This window comes from Homo sapiens, chromosome 16 (assembly GCF_000001405.40).
Source record: "Homo sapiens chromosome 16, GRCh38.p14 Primary Assembly".
Taxonomy (NCBI): domain Eukaryota; kingdom Metazoa; phylum Chordata; class Mammalia; order Primates; family Hominidae; genus Homo; species Homo sapiens.
In genome coordinates this window covers 3,735,662-3,753,352 of record NC_000016.10, presented here as the reverse complement: position 1 = coordinate 3,753,352, position 17,691 = coordinate 3,735,662, and the positions used below count along the sequence as shown (strand labels likewise).

Here is a 17,691-nt window from a genome sequence, read left to right as displayed (position 1 = left end):
AAAATTTGCTGTATGTGTGTGGTTAGTGAAATACAACAGACAAAATGCTCAATGTATTGAATTAAGATTAGATTTGGGACTTGTGGGGGACCTGTCCTAGTGGTAGTGAACTGGCCACACGGTGGCCCACGCCTCAGTCTTCTGTAGCCGTGTGAGTGCGCAAGTGAGTGAGACTGCAGCTGCCGCGTCCCATTCTGCACTTGGTGGTTCAGCCTGGCGCTCGAGTCCTGTCGCACTGTTTTTAATACTAATCCTTCCTGGCATCTTGTAGACATAGTTTTGAGCACTAAACCGCATTCGTGCTGCCGTCGCTACCTGACACTCATTCTTCTCGCTTGTGTGATCCACCTCCACCCGCTTGTTTATTCTTACGGTATTCTTGTGTACTCATCTTGTTTTATGCAGCATCAGCCTGCATTTCTGTTGATTTCTCATTTATGTCCTTTCCAAACATTTAGTAGTTTTTATTTTAATTGTTTGTATTTGATAGCTTGAGCCCAGGCTCTATATTGTCTTACAAGAAATTGGGGTGATGGATAATTTCTCAAATGCAGATTGTTCTTTAAAGATTAACTCTAAATTCACTTAACTTGGATTGCCCCCAAGTCAGAACAGTCATTCGCTAAGTCTTTCAGATTGATGAATGATTGGTCCCAGTACCAAAAATGTCAAATCAAAGCTTAGAATTGAATTTTCAAAGATTGTTCATGGATTTACATATATTGTATTTCTTATACAATATATCACATTTCTTACTCTGTATATTCATATTGATAAATGGGTGGAAAGTCTTTGACCCTGACTGCATTTATGTTAAATGTTTGTCTAGAATATGGATTTGGTTTCATTTGTATTGTAACACAATTAACTGAATGATTAACATGAAAAAAAAAAAAACAGGAAAAAATTAAAATCAGTTCTGGGTGCTCAGCATTTTCATACATTTAAAGATCTGGCTTAATACCGGAAATAAAATCTCTGAATTGCTGTCAAGCATAAATTTTCCATTTTGAAAAATAAAGCTATTTCAGTTTAAATTGCTTTTTTAAGGCCTTTTGTCAGACTGTTTTGTTCAAGTAAATTTTTCCATCTCAAACCCTGGAGTTATATTTGACTTTCTCTGAGTAAGAACAAAATTCAGATTCCTAAATTTGGGCTCCATGCAATTCTAGTATTAACAACTCCTTGAAAACATTTGCCTCTTGGAGCCGGACCGAGCCTGTCGTTGTTAGTGATGATGGCCTGTGATGTGTGCAATGAGACCGAATGCTAATCAATGCTTTGCCTTGGCTTTCTGCTCTGTGTTGTCTTGGTGTCTGCGTCTTACCTCTGTGTCTGTGCTATTTGTTCCCTTCCCTGTTCTCTAATCCTGCCTTTCCCCACCTGCCCCCTGTTCCTTTCATTGTCCTCACTGACCCATCAATCAACCAACAACGCCCCCCCTTCGTCGTGGTGCTCTGCCCTGCTCTGATTGGTGGCTTCGTTGCTTGGGTGGCTGTGTGTTATGATGGACCAGTTCACCCAAGTATGGCCTTCTTGCTGACAGGTATCATTTCTGTGAGAAGTGTTTCACAGAGATCCAGGGCGAGAATGTGACCCTGGGTGACGACCCTTCACAGCCCCAGACGTAAGTACCGTCCTGTCATTTTCTCTGGGGTGAGGGAGGGTGACCTTAAATTGTTTTTTCCTCTTACCAATGACTATAAGGAAGGTACCGGTGCCATTTTGACTTCCTTGCAATGTTTTTTGGTTTTTTGTTTTTGAGACAGGTTCTCATTCTGTCACCTGGGTGGTGTGCAGTGGCACTATCTCGACTCACTGCAGCCTTGACCACTTGGGTTCAAGCGATCCTCCTTTCTCAGCCTCTCAAGTAGCTGGGATTACAGGTGCACGCCACCATACCCAGCTAATTTTTTTGTATTTTTTGTAGAGACGAGGTCTCGCCATGTTGCCCAGGCTAGTCTCAAACTCCTAGACTGAAGCACAATCCACCTGCCTGGGCCTTCCAAAGTGCTGGGATTACAGTCTGTTGTGTTGTGGGGTTTGTTTCATATTAACTATGATCACATTTAATTTGAATATGTGTATACGTATACATTTACACTGAAAAATGTGTTTTGGCTGAACCACAGCGCCACCTCTGCCTTTATCATTCAAGGCGGTGGTACTGTGGCCTACCACTGGAGACCACTGGTCTCTCTTGACCTTGGTCTGTCTTTTTTTCTAAAATAATTGCTTTTTCCTAGTGGTTCCATTTTGGGGAATTAGAAATTTTCTTTATTTTAATTTTTTTTTTGAAATGGGGTCTCACTGTTGTTACCCAGGCTGGTCTTGAACTCTTGCCTCAAGCAGTCCTCCTGCCTTGGCCTTCCAAAGTGCTGGGGCCACCATGCCCGACCATGTAAATTTTCAGTTATACCTGAGAAACCAGGTATCCCCATTTGCAGAACTGGCAGTAGCAAAAAATGAGTTTGGTGTACATGCCCTGCCCTTTACATTTAGTTTATCTCCACTTAAACCTCCATCCTTTCAGTTACTGAAGTCTAATCCAGATTAATGGATTCCAGTGTTCTCCAACCCCATTTTTTGGCCTAAAGTCTAAATGTGTTTCCTTCCTTCACTAGTGCTTTACCTGTTGTTTACCAGCTCCAAAGTGGACAGCTATGACTTTGTTAGTTCACTCCTGCACAGGGTTAAACTTGTATTTCCAGTGTTTATTATCCGGCAGAGTTACCTTCGAGTGTTAGAATGGCCACTGTGTGGCAAGAAAAAGCAAATGCACAAATTGTGTTATCAACTCATTTCTATACTTAAGTAACTAAAAACCTGCCAGCCACCCACCACATCTGCCCAGGTCTGCCGTTCCCTCTTTTCGTCAGACTGAGTTCCCCAGTCTTCCATGATTCCTACCACCCTACCACAGTGTGACTTCCCCAACAGAAAGGAAGGGTTTGCCACAGGAGCTTCTTCCAGCAGTGTAGGCACTTACGCTCTACCATTTTCTTTGTTCAAATGCAGAAAAAACCTAACTTGTAAGACAAACAAACCAAAGTGACTGAAATTCTACATTTTCAATTTATTTCCCTTGTCATCCTAATTCTCTTTAGTCTAGTTGTGTGATTAATAATTGGATTGTTGCCTGAGCAACATAGTGAGACCCCATCTCTACAAAAAATTAAAAAAACTTAACAGGGCGTGGTGGTTTGTACCTGTAGTCCCAGCTACTCAGAACCGGGGTGAGTTTGAGTTCAGCCTTGGCAACATAATGAGACCCTCATCTCCACAAAAAATCAAAAAATTAGCCAGTCCTGGTGGTGCATGCCTATAGTCCCAGCTACCCAGGAGGATCACTTGAGCCTAGGAGGTTAAGGCTGCAGTGAGCCATGGTCACGCCACTGCACTCCAGCCTGGGCAACAGAGCAAGACCTTGTCTCTGAAAAAACAGAAGGAAAAGAAATGATAGTGGAATATGTAGAAAAAGACATTGTAGTGTTCTACGAAATTAAATTTTCTGTTCATTCCGTTATTACATGTACTTGAGATTTTAAGGGGCCATCATGTCTTTTTGTTTGAAGAACTAGTTACAAAATAACATTCCAGAGACCCTATAGTTTATACTCAACAGATAAATTTTAGTTAATAAAACATGTTTTCTTATTTTAAAACAAGGACAATTTCAAAGGATCAGTTTGAAAAGAAGAAAAATGATACCTTAGACCCCGAACCGTAAGTATATAGCTATTTCTTTTTTACTTTCAGTTTTGGTTTGAAATCGGTAAAGTTACTCCTTATGGAGTGGGTTGTGGGTAAAAACATTGGAAATATGTTGCCGTAAGTGGAATTTCTGGTGTGAGGTTATCTTTTAGATATAGATTTCTTTTAAACTTAAACAAAATATGTATGTCTCTGTAACATGTACTCTAGTTACTGGATTTTAACAATGATAAGATTAAATGGATGTTTTAGTTCTATGAGAACCTCTCTAATAATTTGGTCATGGGTGTCTTTAAGAAGCCATTTAGCATGAATCTTTAGAGACCAAAGGTTAGGAGTATTTGGTGGGGTAGTACTAGTAGTATCGTTTAAAGGGAAATACCAGAAAGAAAACCTCTTGGAAACTGCTTTCTCAAATAATGTAAAGCTTGGCACATTTTCTTGCCATTGTTAAGCACTTTTTTTGTTGTTGTTTTTGTTTTGTTTTGTTTTTTGAGACAGTCTCGCTCTGTCCCCGAGGCTGGAGTGCAGTGGCACGATCTCGGCTCACTGCAGGCTCCGCCTCCCGGGTTCACGCCATTCTCCTGCCTCAGCCTCCCGAGTAGCTGGGACTACAGGCGCCCACCACCACGCCTGGCTAATTTTTTGTATTTTTAGTAGAGACGGGGTTTCACTGTGTTAGCCAGGATGGTCTCGATCTCCTGACCTCAGGTGATGTGCCTGTCTCGGCCTCCCAAAGTGCTGGGATTCCAGGCGTGAGCCACCGCGCCCGGCCCTGTTAAGCACTTTTCTACAGTGATGAGTGAGAGTGCTGCATTTGCTAACCTTGCTTCATAACAGCCCCTAAAGAGACTTCAGATTTTTTTCAGTGTGGTAGCCTCTTCCCAGGTCCCCAATGTAAAGTTCTGAGGGCGCTCCAAATTGGCATGGCGATACTGGCTATTTTTTGTCCCCAGGGTGAGCACAGGCTCCAGGAGCGTTGGCTACTTGGGAAGTGTGGGCTGTGACTCAGCCAAGGCAAGAAACAGACCCTGCTCTCCCTATCCTGACCCTCTCCAGGGAAGCCAGTGGCTAGAGTGGCAAGCACAGATTTCTACCCAGGCCACCTCTGGAAACCTAGCTTGACTTTTGGCAGGTTACTTCATCTCTACCAGCACATGGTACACAGACAGGACGATGATGTGAAATCCTAGAGCTGTAGTCTTGGCGAGATGCCAGGGCAGAGCGCCCACCCCTCTCATGACCATCGGATTGTTTTTCCTGACTTTCCACCTTTCTTTTCACATTGTGTCTTTCTCTCCTTGGCTTTATAGTTTCATTATTATTTATATCTACTTTTCTTTCCTTTTTTTTTTTCCCCCTGAGACAAGTCTTGCTCTGTCCCCCAGGCTGGAGTGCAGTGGCGCGATCTCGGCTCACTGCAGCCTCCGCCTCCCAGATTCAAGCAATTCTCTGCCTTGGCCTCCCAAGTGGCTGGGATTACAGGTGCCCGCCACCACGCCCAGCTAACTTATGTATGTATGTATGTATGTATTTATTTTTATTTTTGAGATGGAGTTTCACTCTTGTTGCCCAGGCTGGAGTGCAATGGCACAATCTCAGCTCACCGCAACCTCCGTCTCCCGGGTTCAAGCGATTCTCCTGCCTCAGCCTCCCGAGTAGCTGGGATTACAGGCATGTGCCACCACACCTGGCTAATTTTTTTGTATTTTTAGTAGAGACGGGGTTTCACCATGTTAGCCAGGATGGTCTCGATCTCCTGACCTCGTGGTCCACCCGCCTCGGCCTCTCAAGGTGCTGGGATTACAGGTGTGAGCCACCGCACCCAGCCTGTATTTTTAGTAGAGACGAGGTTTCACCATCTTGACCAGGCTGGTCTTGAACTCCTGACCTCGTGATCCACCCACCTCGGCCTCCCAAAGTGCTGGGATTACAGGCGTGAGCCACCGTGCCCGGCCAATTTATATCTACTTTTCAACTTCAAAATATATTACATTCAAGTAGTAGGTGCCAGGCAGAGGGAACACATGGATGAGTGAAGGGGTCTCCTTCCTGCTGGTTGTAGTCTAGAGAGACAGCTGGGTAATGGCACAGCCTGCAGCAGGAGACAGTACAAGTGAGTCCCAGACAGAAGGGACCCTGCTTGGGCAGAGCGGCATCACCACAGTTGCGCCTGGTTTCCTGGACAAGATGACATTTACATTGAAGCTGCAGAGCATTCTAGAAACAAAGGCATGAAAGAACACAGGTTGCTCAATAAAACTACAAGGCCCCTAGAGTGGGTGGTTGGTAGGCAGAGGTTAACTTCATGAAGGGCCATTACACTGTCTCTTGACGTTTAGACTTTATCCTATAATGTGCTGAGGAGGTTTTGAAGAATAGCACTGGTTCTAGTGTAAGAGGGTCATCTTTGGTCTATGAGGTGAACTGAACAGAAGAGGAGAAGACATTGTTCTGTAGTAGAGAAGTTAGTTAAGAGACACAAAGCAGGAGAAGGCAAGAAACTGAAACACCAATTAAAGCAAGAGCTTTTGGAGCCAGGCAGGGGGGCTTGCTGGGGGACTGAGGGAAGGGGAGACATCTAGTTGGCCCATAATAATTGGGAGTGGGAGAAAGGGGGAAATTCAAAATGGATGTCATGGGGTCTAGAATATGCAGTGTGTTTTGTTTGTTTGGATTTTGTTTGTTGTTTTTGAAACAGGGTCTTGCTGTGTCACCCAGGCTGGAGTGCAGTGGTGCAGTCATAGCTCACTGCAGCCACAACCTCCCAGACCCAAGCAGTCCTCCCAGCTCAGCCTTCTAAGTAACTGGGACTACAGGCACACACCACCATGCCCAGCTAATTTTTAAATTTTTTGTAGAAATGGGGTCTCCCTATTTTACCCAGGCTGGTCTCAAACTCCCAGTAAAGCAATCCTTCCACCCCAGCCTCTCCACATGCTAGGATTACAGGTGTGAGCCACTGCACCTGTCCCCAGTGTAGTTTTGGGGGACACTCCTTTCCCCTGACATGGGAGGGAAGAGTTGAGAGCAGGGGACCTTTGGAGACGGCACAGGAATTGAGGAAGTTCTTGGCCCCAACCTTTGAAATTCTTAGCGTTGGGGATGAGCTCAGTGGCTGAGTTGTCAAAGACAGAGCTTGTGGAGGATAAGCACTGGAGGAAAGGAGTGCAGATTCAGAGCAGCTGCCACGTGGAAGGGAGAGGTAGCCAGACAGAGCCGGGCTGTCAGAGAGTGCCATAGGACCATGAACGGGTGCCGCCATTTGTGTGTGTGTGTTTTTTTTTTCACAGATCTGTGTGTGTGTCTTTTCTTTCCCTCCAGCAGACTGGGCAGAGAAGCCAGATGAGGGTAGACCCATGGCTGAGGGCTTGCATAGCACGTGCAATGGACAGATTAAGGGGACGAGGGCAGGGGCACACTTTAGAGGAGCTGTAGCTCAAAGCTCAGGAGCACACAGGGAATCACATTACTCACCAGTCCCTTCAGCCTATCCTCGGAGGTATGCATTGTGGTGGCAGCAAGGGAGGGAGCTGACAAAAACCCAAGGTCTTGACCTCAAAATGTCATCTTGGCATTTAAGATTCCTGGGTTGAGGCGGTTCCTGGAGGTGACGGAGCCCTGGTGGGCCGTGGTTGTGGGCTGCCGTAGAACAGTGTGGAGGATTCGTGGGGAATGGGTGGTCCATTCTCTCGCTTCACCAGTGTTTACTTGAATAAACCCTTGTCAACTTGCCAGTAGGCCTGACACATTCCACCTTTTGTAACTGACTCAGAACTGGTGTTTTTGTGCCTCGCGCCTAGCGTGGCTGCTCTGAACTGGCCGTGTTTCCCATTAGTATCCTCAACAATTTTAGACTTAAGAGCACATGTTTAGAACTCAAAGTATTGTTCTCTATTTTTTAAGTCAGTTTTGGCATGTGAAATCACCTAGAGAAGGCATTGTTCTTGCAAATGTGTAGCAGTGTCAGAAATACCGGCCTGTGAAATATGTATTTGTCGCAGCAATTTTTAAAAAGTAAAGTTTCCTTTCTGGTTGCAAAGGGAGATTGGGAGAAAAGAGGAATGAAGCGCTTGTACAAACAAAAGAAGAAAGCTTTTTCCTGTAGAAGATATCATACGGATGCATTGTAAAATATAGCTGAATCAGCCAACACACGCATTAATGTCAGCACTACTCAAAGTAACCCAGAGAACAAGGTGTGGACGCACACACAGACTTCTACAAGTGACTCTGGTCTTGTGGTTCCGTGTGCTTTAACAGTGCGCCTTCTTTGCCTCCTAGTTTCGTTGATTGCAAGGAGTGTGGCCGGAAGATGCATCAGATTTGCGTTCTGCACTATGACATCATTTGGCCTTCAGGGTGAGTTGTTTCCCCTGGCCTGGAGGGCAGTTCTGCACAGAGCCAGTGGCGGGGCAGTTGCAGTGGCTACTGCATCTCATTCATTGTTGTCAGCAAGAATTCAGCGATTAAGAGAGATGGCAGTTGGTTCTAAATTTAAGTTCTAAGCGTTTGTCCGCTTTAGGAATTGTGGAATCAAAGCAGTCTGCCTCTTCACTCTTTAATTTTATAATAATGTGATTTAAACTGCCAACAAACTATCTGAATGCTGCATTTTGTTGGTTTGACAATTTACATCATTATATACAGTCTCATCATACCACTATTATTTTGCAGTTTTGTGTGCGACAACTGCTTGAAGAAAACTGGCAGACCTCGAAAAGAAAACAAATTCAGTGCTAAGAGTAAGTTTCGGGAAGCTTTCTGTTTCCTGGACTGCACATTTTAGAAACTTGTAGAAATTGTCCCCATTGTTCTTTGGTTCCTCTCAACACATGGTTCTGAGGTTCGGTTGTCAAAGATTTTCGTTAGTTTTTTCCCCAGTACTTTGTATTTTTCTTGTCTCATCCTTAAGGAGAGCCAGGCCAGTCATGAGGGTAAGAATGCAAGAATGTTCTTCAGGGGCTTCACTGAGAATAGGCAGCACAGCTGTGAGTCCCTGAAGTCTGTGCTTCTCAGAATGGTCATCTCAGCCACGGGGCTGCTGAGCACAGAGCTCAGAGCAGGACTCGCAGCCTTGGGCTGTGGATCTTCATCAAGTGTAAAACATCTCAGTCCACCCTTAAAGGGAATATTTGGCCTGATTGTTATATGAAAGTCAGCATTTATGATCAGCGCATGTTTTAGATGAAAGGTTAGATGTGCAGTAAACTTTGTAAATTCTGAGAAAATTTATCAACAGATTATTCTCAAGTGGTTTAGACCTAAGACCCCTCACCCCTCGTGCGTGCATGTGTGGTGTAATGTTGGCCAGCACTCTCTAACCCTGGGCCCTATGTGGGCTGCCGTGGGTCTGTCCCGTGGGTGCTGGCTTCTGCTACAGTGGGGTATGAGCCATGGCCTCTGGGAACCAGCCACCACCCCAGGAGCGGTAGGAGCCTGGCCTGCATGTGGACTTGGCTGGACATGTTACTGCAGCTGGTGGTGCCTGTGCAGAAATAGAAGGAACAACCTGTTACTGCTAGAAGTAACTTTGCATGAGTAGACTTTCTTTTTTTTTTAATTTGAGACATTCTCGCTCTGTCGCCAGGCTGGAGTGCAGTGGTGCAATCTCAGCTCACTGCAACCTCCACCTCCTGGGTTCAAGCGATTCTCCTGCCTCAGCCTCCCGAGTAGCTGGGACTACAGGCGCCCGCCACCTTGCCCAGCTAATTTTTGTATTTTTAGTAGAGACGGGTTTCACCATGTTGGCCAGGACGGTCTCAATCTCTTGACCTTGTGATCCGCCCGCCTCGGCCTCCCAAAGTGCTGGGATTACAGCCATTAGCCACCGCGCCCGGCTGACTTTTTTTTTTAAGACCACATTGCATTGTTATCAAAAGTTTATGGTTATTTAATCTTTATAGAGTCAATTCTCAAGTCTTGGGATGGCCTTCTGCAGCTTGACGCGCCAGGCTGGCCTTTTGCCGAGTTAACCAGCAAACCCACACAAGAACGGCAACTGCAGCAGTGTTCTAACATTGACTTGCCAGCTGCTCCCTACAGCTGTCACCTTTCTCTGGCAGGACAGGTGACTAGCATGTTGCTCAGGAGATCCCCAATAGAACCAGGGTCATTTGGGGAGCTCAGAGTAGAAGAGAGATGGAAATGCTAGGATGGACCATGCACTGGGGGAAGGGGAGGAGGAAGCCACCCTGTAGACTTGAGACTGAGTCTTAATTCAAGTTCAAACTCTGTTGTTAACCAACATCCAAAGTTATGCAATAGCTTACACTGCCTCTGTTAAAAACTTGTGAAATATCACTCATTGATAAACTATTGTAATACTTTTCCTTAGCTCGGTTTCTCAACTGAGGCACTGTTGACATTTCAGGCCAGGTAACCCTCTGTTTTAGGGGCTGTCCTGCGCATTACAGGATTTTAGCAGCATGCCTGGCCTCTGCCCACTCAGTGCCAGTAACACCTTCCTCAGCAATTCATTACGTCTGTCAGAAATGTCTCCAGACATTGCCAGATGTCCCCTGGAGGGGCACAGTTGCCTCCATTTGAGAGGCCCTGCTTCAGAGGATTCACTCTGAGTGAGTTCGCTAATGCATTTGAGCAAATTGGAAGTTCTTCCCTGGGCCAGAGGCTCAGTAGCCAAAACAGAATTACCCAGAGAACTAGGCCTCCGTAGAACAGTCATTGCCTGAAAGGGGCAGGAGGTGACTGGGCGGAATGGCACAAGTGGCCCCAGAGCAGGTCCAGCCCCCTCCCACCGCAGCATCCAGAAAGACCCGTGGGCATTCGGTAGATGAGCCCAAGATCTAGAAATGGAACATTACTGGAGAAAAGGGCCTAGGAGACTAGAGGTAGCTCTACTCTCAGTGTGAGCGTGTGTCAGCACAGGCGTTGTGGTGTCTGATCACAGAGTAAAGGTATGCTTCCTTAATCTTGCATTGAAAACCATCTCCTTCGCATACACCATATGCAAAACCAAATTCAGGTAGATTAAAAAGCGAGAAAAGTAAACAAAACTGCAGATGCATTCAGGATAAAAGTAAGATAATAATTTTATTGTGTTGAGTTATGAAAAGCCTTCCTTAAAAAGATACAGCCCAGAGATGAGAAAGGAAAAGGCACAAAAGGCCCCTGTCATGCGCCATGGATGAAGATACAAGTTGAATGCCAGAAAGCGAGGGGCACAATTTAAAGTGTTCATTTTTAGATTTAGCAAGTCTACTTTCACACATGTATCCTATAAAAATATTTGCACATATGCATAACGGCACATACAAGGACATAACTGCAGCAATGGCAAGGAGTGATGAAAAAGTAGGAACAGTGGCCAAATCGAGTGATAACAGAAAAGGAGGCAGCACTGTGAGGAAGGTTGCGCAGAGTGCACCGCAGTGAGCACGGCCTGCGCCTAGACCCCTGTGCTGTCTGAGACCACCTCTGGAGTATGCAGCCATGTGTGGATCACAGGTGTCAAATAGCGAAGTTACTCTGGAAGAGTTTTTTTTGTTTGTTTTTTTGGGGGGTTTTTTTGTTTTTTTTTTGTTTTGTTTTGTTTGTGCAGACAGAGTCTCGCTCTGTCGCCCACACTGGAGTGCAGTCACGTGATGTCGGCTCACTGCAAGCTCTTGCCTCCCGGGTTCACGCCATTCGCCTGCCTCAGCCTCCCGAGTAGCTGGGACTACAGGCGCCCGCCACCATGCCTGTAGTCCTAATTTTTTCTGTTTTTTAGTAGAGATGGGGTTTCACCGTGTTAGCCAGGATGGTCCCGATCGCCTGACCTCGTGATCCGCCTGCCTCGGCCTCCCAAAATGCTGGAATTACAGGCATGAGCCATCGCTCCCGACTTAATTTTGCATTCTTAGTGGAGACGGGGGTTTCACCATGTTGGCCAGGCTGGTCTCGAACTCCTGACCTCAGGTGATCCACTCGCCTCAGCCTCCCAAAGAGCTGGGATTACAGGTGTGAGTCACTGCGCTCAGCTTAATTTTGTATTTTTAGTAGAGATGGGGTTTCTCCGTTTTGGTCAGGCTGGTCTTGAACTCCTGACCTCAGGTGATCCACCTGCCTCGGCCTCCCAAAGTGCTGGGATTACAGGCATGAGCCATTGTGCCCGGCCACATTTTTCTTTTTAAATCATTTTTATTCAGGTACAACTTATCCAAAAATCAGCACCACTGGTTTGTTTATTGCAGAAAAATGAAATTTAGAAGTTTGGTCTAAATTTTCTAGCTCGCTAAGGAATCTTCGAAAATTCCCAATTTTCCTATTTCTCACTAATGTAGGAAATATTTAAAAGCCAGCAAAGAAGAAAACATCTTTTAAAATCTCATTGTCTATACGTAATCACTAAGAACCTTTTGCAACTTTCCCTTATAGTTTTTTAACCTGTATATGAGGCGTTCTCTGTCCTGAAGTAATGTCCTGCCTCTGGCTAGCTCCTGTGACGGTAGCCCTCCCGGGGCTGGCCCTGGGTGAGGAGGGGTGGCGGCGGGGAGGTGAGCCCAGGAAAGGCTGCCCTCGCCAAGGCTCGGAAACTTCATTCGTGCACCGCACGAGGCGATGGCTCAGGGCAGGCTTGGACACCAATACTTTGCCAGCTCCTGAGGCACCGGACAGGCTCTGGCCAGAGCTTAATTGGTTAGCCCTAGAACGTTCCACGTTCACGTCAGACTCCATAGTAGGGACTTTCTCCTCAGAGCTGGGCAGGAGGAGCCCACTGAGGGTGTGCCATCTCTGCCCTCCAGGGAAAGCGGGAAGCAACAGGGAAACATCCATCTGCTCCGCCCTAGAGCCCCTGTCAATTTTGGACCCACCGCTATAGGTCTTCTGCCCCATACTGTTAGAAAAAGATGCAGGTTACCTGGGCACGTAAACGGTTTTCAGGAGTGGAGTGCCTGAGATCCCAGAGTCCACCTTTCCTTTATATAACACTCGTGTCACAGGACAGATTAGATTTCTTCCGTGTTTGGAGAACATTAGTCCTTTAAAATATCAGCCTGTGCTGCAAAGTGGGGTGGATTCTCTAGTCTCAGTCACTGTCTCAGCAGTGCTGTTGAAGCCCTCTCACCTGCTCCTTCTGGACTTCCTAGGGCTGCAGACCACAAGACTGGGAAACCACTTGGAAGACCGAGTGAACAAATTTTTGCGGCGCCAGAATCACCCTGAAGCCGGGGAGGTTTTTGTCCGAGTGGTGGCCAGCTCAGACAAGACGGTGGAGGTCAAGCCCGGGATGAAGTCACGGTCAGTGTGCCTGCTCTCTACAGTGCTCTGCGAGCAGTCCCCACGCCCGCTTGCCAGAGCCTGCTCTCTGCAAAGCTCTTGAGTTTGAGGTCATCCTTCCAAGACTTTGCAGCAGCGAATGCGTGCAGTAGCCCCCTCAGCTGCGGTTGTCCTGTCTGGGGTTTTAGTTACCCTATACAGTGCAGTAAGCTATTTTGAGAGAGAGACCACATACCATATTATAGTATACTGTTTATAATTTTCTTATTTTATTATTACTTATTCTTGTTAATCTCTTGCTGTGCCTAATTTATAAATTAAAATTTTGTGACCAGTACAGGTGTATAAGAAAAAACGCATAGAGGTTGATACTGTCCATGGTTTCCAGCATCCACTGCTGGTCTTGGAACATACACCCCGTGGATAAGGGGGACTGCTGTATAGCCAGTCCTCCTCAGAATCCCGTATTTCATTCACAGAGGTGCAGTTCCCTAGTGAGGGAAACTGGTCAGAAAGCAAGTGCTCCCTGCTCCGGGGCTGACTGGCCCATAGGGAGGACTCCAGGCCACGGTCTGAGGAGGTGGCCATGCCTCCGCTCATCTGCAGTGGCCAGAGTTAGAGGAGCAGGCCTGGTGTGCAGAAGCACCTTGTCAGCAACAGCCTTTGTAAATGTCCGGCTCTGGCTTTTGTTTCAGGTTTGTGGATTCTGGGGAAATGTCTGAATCTTTCCCATATCGAACCAAAGCTCTGTTTGCTTTTGAGGAAATTGACGGCGTGGATGTCTGCTTTTTTGGAATGCACGTCCAAGAATACGGCTCTGATTGCCCCCCTCCAAACACGAGGTAGTTTTCCAGCTCCTTCCAGGGCGTGTCATTCAGTGAGCCGTGTTAGGATAGACCAGGGCTCTTAAGTGTCCCAGAGGAGCCTGTGAGCCTTCATAGGGGATTAAAGTAAATGAAACCACAATTAACTAACCAAAGTAGTTAGTTTTGTTTTCCATTAAACTAGCGGGAAATGAACTGTTGAGATGACTGCAGTGAGCGTGTTTTGTGTGGCGAGTCTGTGTGGGACCCGCTCTTACCTAACGCAGGTAAACCTGGGGAGTTGGGATGGGACAGCCTGGCACCTGAACAGAGGAAGTAGCTCTGCCACGAGGGCTTCATGTGCAGTCAGGAATCTGGGCAAGAAGGAACTAAAAGTGGCTTTTCTCAGTTTGCCTTAACTGTGGCTCTCTGTGCCGAGTGGTGCCATTCATCCTTTTGTTCAGTGACGAAAACTGAATTCCATTTAACTGATTGGCAGCAGGGTTGGTGACTGGTTGGTTTTTGGGTTTTGGTTTGTTTGTTTGTTTATCACATCCTGTTTGGTGGCCAGTGTAAATACCATCAAAAGAAAAACTGGCCAATCACAGCACTGTGGGAGGCCGAGGTGGGAGGATAACTGGACCACAGGAGTCTGAGACAAGTCTGAACAACAAAGTGAGACCCTAGCTCTACAAAAAATAAATTATCTGGGCATGATGGTACATGCCTTGTCATCCTAACTATGTGGGAGTCTGAGGCAGGAGGATTGCTTGAGCCCATGAGGTTGAGGTTGCAGTGAGCTGTGACCGCGTCACCGCATTGCAGCCTGAATGACAGAGCAAGACCCTGTCTAAAAAGTAAACTTCCAGGGTGTTGTTTGTTGCTTGTGTTTGATTTCAGATTTGAGGGATACCCTGAGTTAAACATGTGCCTCCTTCCCACAGGCGTGTGTACATTTCTTATCTGGATAGTATTCATTTCTTCCGGCCACGTTGCCTCCGCACAGCCGTTTACCATGAGATCCTTATTGGATATTTAGAGTATGTGAAGAAATTAGGGTGAGTTTGGATTAAATTATTTGGAACTAGTAAGAACCCTTTATTTTTTACTGTATGTTTATTCCGTGAAATAATGGGTATTTTAAGTTTTATGCGTTTTTATTTTTCCATCCTAAGATCAATTCAGAATCTCCAAAGCTCCTCTTTCCAGGTGCTCCCCGAGCCTCACAGGTCTGGCTCCTGGGCACGTAGCAAGCTCTTTCCCTACCTTTACTTCCTTTTCATTCCCTTTTTTTTTTTTTTTAACTTTATTGAGGCAAAGTTTACATATCATAGAATTCCCCTTTTTTGGATATATGATTCAGTGGTTTTTAGTAACTTTACCCATTAGTGCAACTATCACAAGTCAGTTTCAGAACATTGTTATTGACCTATAAGATCCCTCCTGCTGCGGTGGATCACCTGAAGTCAGGAGTTCAAGACCAGCCTGACCAACATGGTGAAACCCCATCTCTACTAAAAATTAAAAAAAAGGCCGGGCGCGGTGGCTCACACCTGTAATCTCAGCACTTTGGGAGGCCGAGGCGGGCGGATCACAAGGTCAGGAGTTTGAGACCAGCCTGACCAACATGGTGAAACCCTGTCTCTACTAAAAATACAAAAGTTAGCCGGGCATAGTAGCATGAGCCTGTAATCCCAGCTACTCAAGAGGCTGAGGCAGGAGAATTCCTTGAATCCAGGAGGCGGGGGGTTGCAGTGAGCTGAGATTGTGCCACTGCACTCCAGCCTGGGCGACAGAGCAAGACTCCATCTCAAAAAAAGAAAAAAGAAAGAAAAGAAAAAAAGAAAAATACAAAAAAAAATTGGCTCACCTAGTCTGTAATCCTAGTACTTTGGGAGGCCAAGGCAGGTGGATCACCTGAGATCAGGAGTTCAAGACCAGCCTGACCAACATGGTGAAACCCTGTCTGTACTAAAAATACAAAAAATGAGCCAGGCGTGGTGGCGGGTGCCTAGCGTAATCCCAGCTCCTCAGGAGGTGGGGGCAGGAGAGCCACTCGAACCAGGGAGACAGAGGATGCGCTGAGTCGAGATCATGCCATTGCACTCCACCCTGGGCAACAACAATGAAACTCTGCCCCCCGCCCGCAAAAAAAAAAAAAGAAAAAAGAAAAAAAATGTTCCTCCTGCCCCTTGCTGTTAAACCTTCCCTGCCCCAGGCGACCACTAATCTACTTTGTCTCTCTGAATTTGTCTTTTGTGAATCCTTTGTGTAAACGGAACCCTGCAGCGTATGCTGTCTTGGGTCTGGCTTCCTTCTCTAGCCCTTGGTTTCTGTACTCTAGACCTGCCCCATTCCCTTCTGAAACTTGAAAAGGATAGGGGCATTTGATCAAAGTGTCTTGAACAGAATGAATGAGGTTTATGTTGACATTGACCCTTGGAGAAAAATAGTCAACCGAACTGCCTTTACAGTGCACAGGAGGAAGGGGATGGCATTGCCTTGATGAGCCATCATATTCCCTGGTTCTTTAATGAGGCCTCAGGTTTCTTTTGCAGCCTCGGCCCTGCCCTGTGTGTGCACCCCAAGGGAGAAGTGTTGCAGGGCTAATTTGCAGGCTTGCATTTGCTCAGGATAAAGTTCGAGCCTTGCCCCCACCACACCCAGCTTTGTGGGCATTCATTCTCTCTCTCTGGTTACTTCTGTCCTGGCTTTAGTCCTTGCTCCTCTGCTATAACTCCTTAAAGGCAGGGCCGATTTCACTGGCACGTTCATCTGACGTGTGTGCGTGGGTCCTGCAGGTATGTGACAGGGCACATCTGGGCCTGTCCTCCAAGTGAAGGAGATGATTACATCTTCCATTGCCACCCACCTGATCAAAAAATACCCAAGCCAAAACGACTGCAGGAGTGGTACAAAAAGATGCTGGACAAGGCGTTTGCAGAGCGGATCATCCATGACTACAAGGTACCCGGCGCTGAAGGAAGGTGGTGGCTTTTGTCACAACTGAGGGGAGGATATTTGTGTGCCTTTTTCTTGCATTCGCATACTTGTTAATTACCTTCACTTATGAGGATTAGAAAGCAGAAAAATAAAAGCCTAAAGTGAGAACTTAGAAGCATTTTCTTCAGCTGATTGAGGCTTTCCCCTGGCCGTCTGAGAGCAGCACAGTTGGAGCTGTTTCCATCAGTGGGCATTGGGGCCTGTGCATCACTGTTGCACACATAGGGGCTCCAGCACTGTGGTGGGGGGTGCACATGTGTGGGGGTCTGCTGCACTGTGGTGGGGGGGCACACATGCATGGGACTCTGCCACACCATGGTGAGGGGCACGCTTGCGTGGGGGTCTGTCGCACCATGGTGGGGGGCACGCGTGCATGGCCCTCATCTCACTGTTGTGCTTTGCCCACTCAGGATATTTTCAAACAAGCAACTGAAGACAGGCTCACCAGTGCCAAGGAACTGCCCTATTTTGAAGGTGATTTCTGGCCCAATGTGTTAGAAGAGAGCATTAAGGAACTAGAACAAGAAGAAGAGGAGAGGAAAAAGGAAGAGAGCACTGCAGCCAGTGAAACCACTGAGGTACAGACCCTTCTCTGAGCTCCATTGCCCACGTGTCCCGCTGGAGCTGCAGGGTGGCAGGCTGGGAGGCGCGTGTCGACTGTTAGGTCCTTCCTGTGGTGGTGTCTCCGTTCACACATGCACGTCGACACCACCTGCAGCACAGGGCGTTGGTGGGCAGCAGTGTGGGCTCTGCACTCTCTGCACAGTGGATGCTCTGGGGAGCTGGGGGTCCACTTAGACTCGGAGAGGGAAGAGAGGAAGACAGAAAATGGGACATGGGGCAGTCAGGACACAACCCGCTGATGTAAAAAGTGAGTCGAGGAGGCACAGGGTTGCCAGGCCTTATTCCGTGTTTGGTGGCCACTCTGCACATGATGCTCATGCCCTGCTGC

General features: G+C 46.9%; 1 protein-coding gene across 10 annotated transcripts in view, besides 1 other annotated feature; it reads left to right on the top strand.

Annotated features, from left to right (window-relative positions):
* Positions 1 to 17,691, top strand: part of CREBBP (CREB binding lysine acetyltransferase) — a 155,660-nt gene that overhangs the window by 127,361 nt on the left and 10,608 nt on the right. For 8 of the 10 annotated variants that reach the window (XM_047433625.1, XM_047433624.1, XM_005255124.5 and 5 more), the window contains 9 exons: positions 1,547 to 1,627; positions 3,670 to 3,726; positions 7,999 to 8,076; positions 8,392 to 8,459; positions 12,804 to 12,954; positions 13,629 to 13,775; positions 14,681 to 14,794; positions 16,538 to 16,703; positions 17,150 to 17,317. In XM_047433625.1, coding sequence (XP_047289581.1) covers positions 1,547 to 1,627; positions 3,670 to 3,726; positions 7,999 to 8,076; positions 8,392 to 8,459; positions 12,804 to 12,954; positions 13,629 to 13,775; positions 14,681 to 14,794; positions 16,538 to 16,703; positions 17,150 to 17,317 — 1,030 coding nt within the window. Of the gene's footprint in view, positions 1 to 1,546; positions 1,628 to 3,669; positions 3,727 to 7,757; positions 7,877 to 7,998; positions 8,077 to 8,391; positions 8,460 to 12,803; positions 12,955 to 13,628; positions 13,776 to 14,680; positions 14,795 to 16,537; positions 16,704 to 17,149; positions 17,318 to 17,691 lie in introns of those variants that run through there. The other 2 variants (XM_006720848.4, XM_011522382.4) reach the window with 2 other exon arrangements.
* Positions 15,908 to 16,595: an enhancer, noted in NCBI's record as "NANOG-H3K27ac-H3K4me1 hESC enhancer chr16:3786759-3787446 (GRCh37/hg19 assembly coordinates)". NCBI's record gives its function as "activates a minimal SCP1, AML or CMV promoter by ChIP-STARR-seq in naive H9 embryonic stem cells {active_cell/tissue: H9 hESC(naive)}" and the evidence as "EXISTENCE:reporter gene assay evidence [ECO:0000049][PMID:30033119]".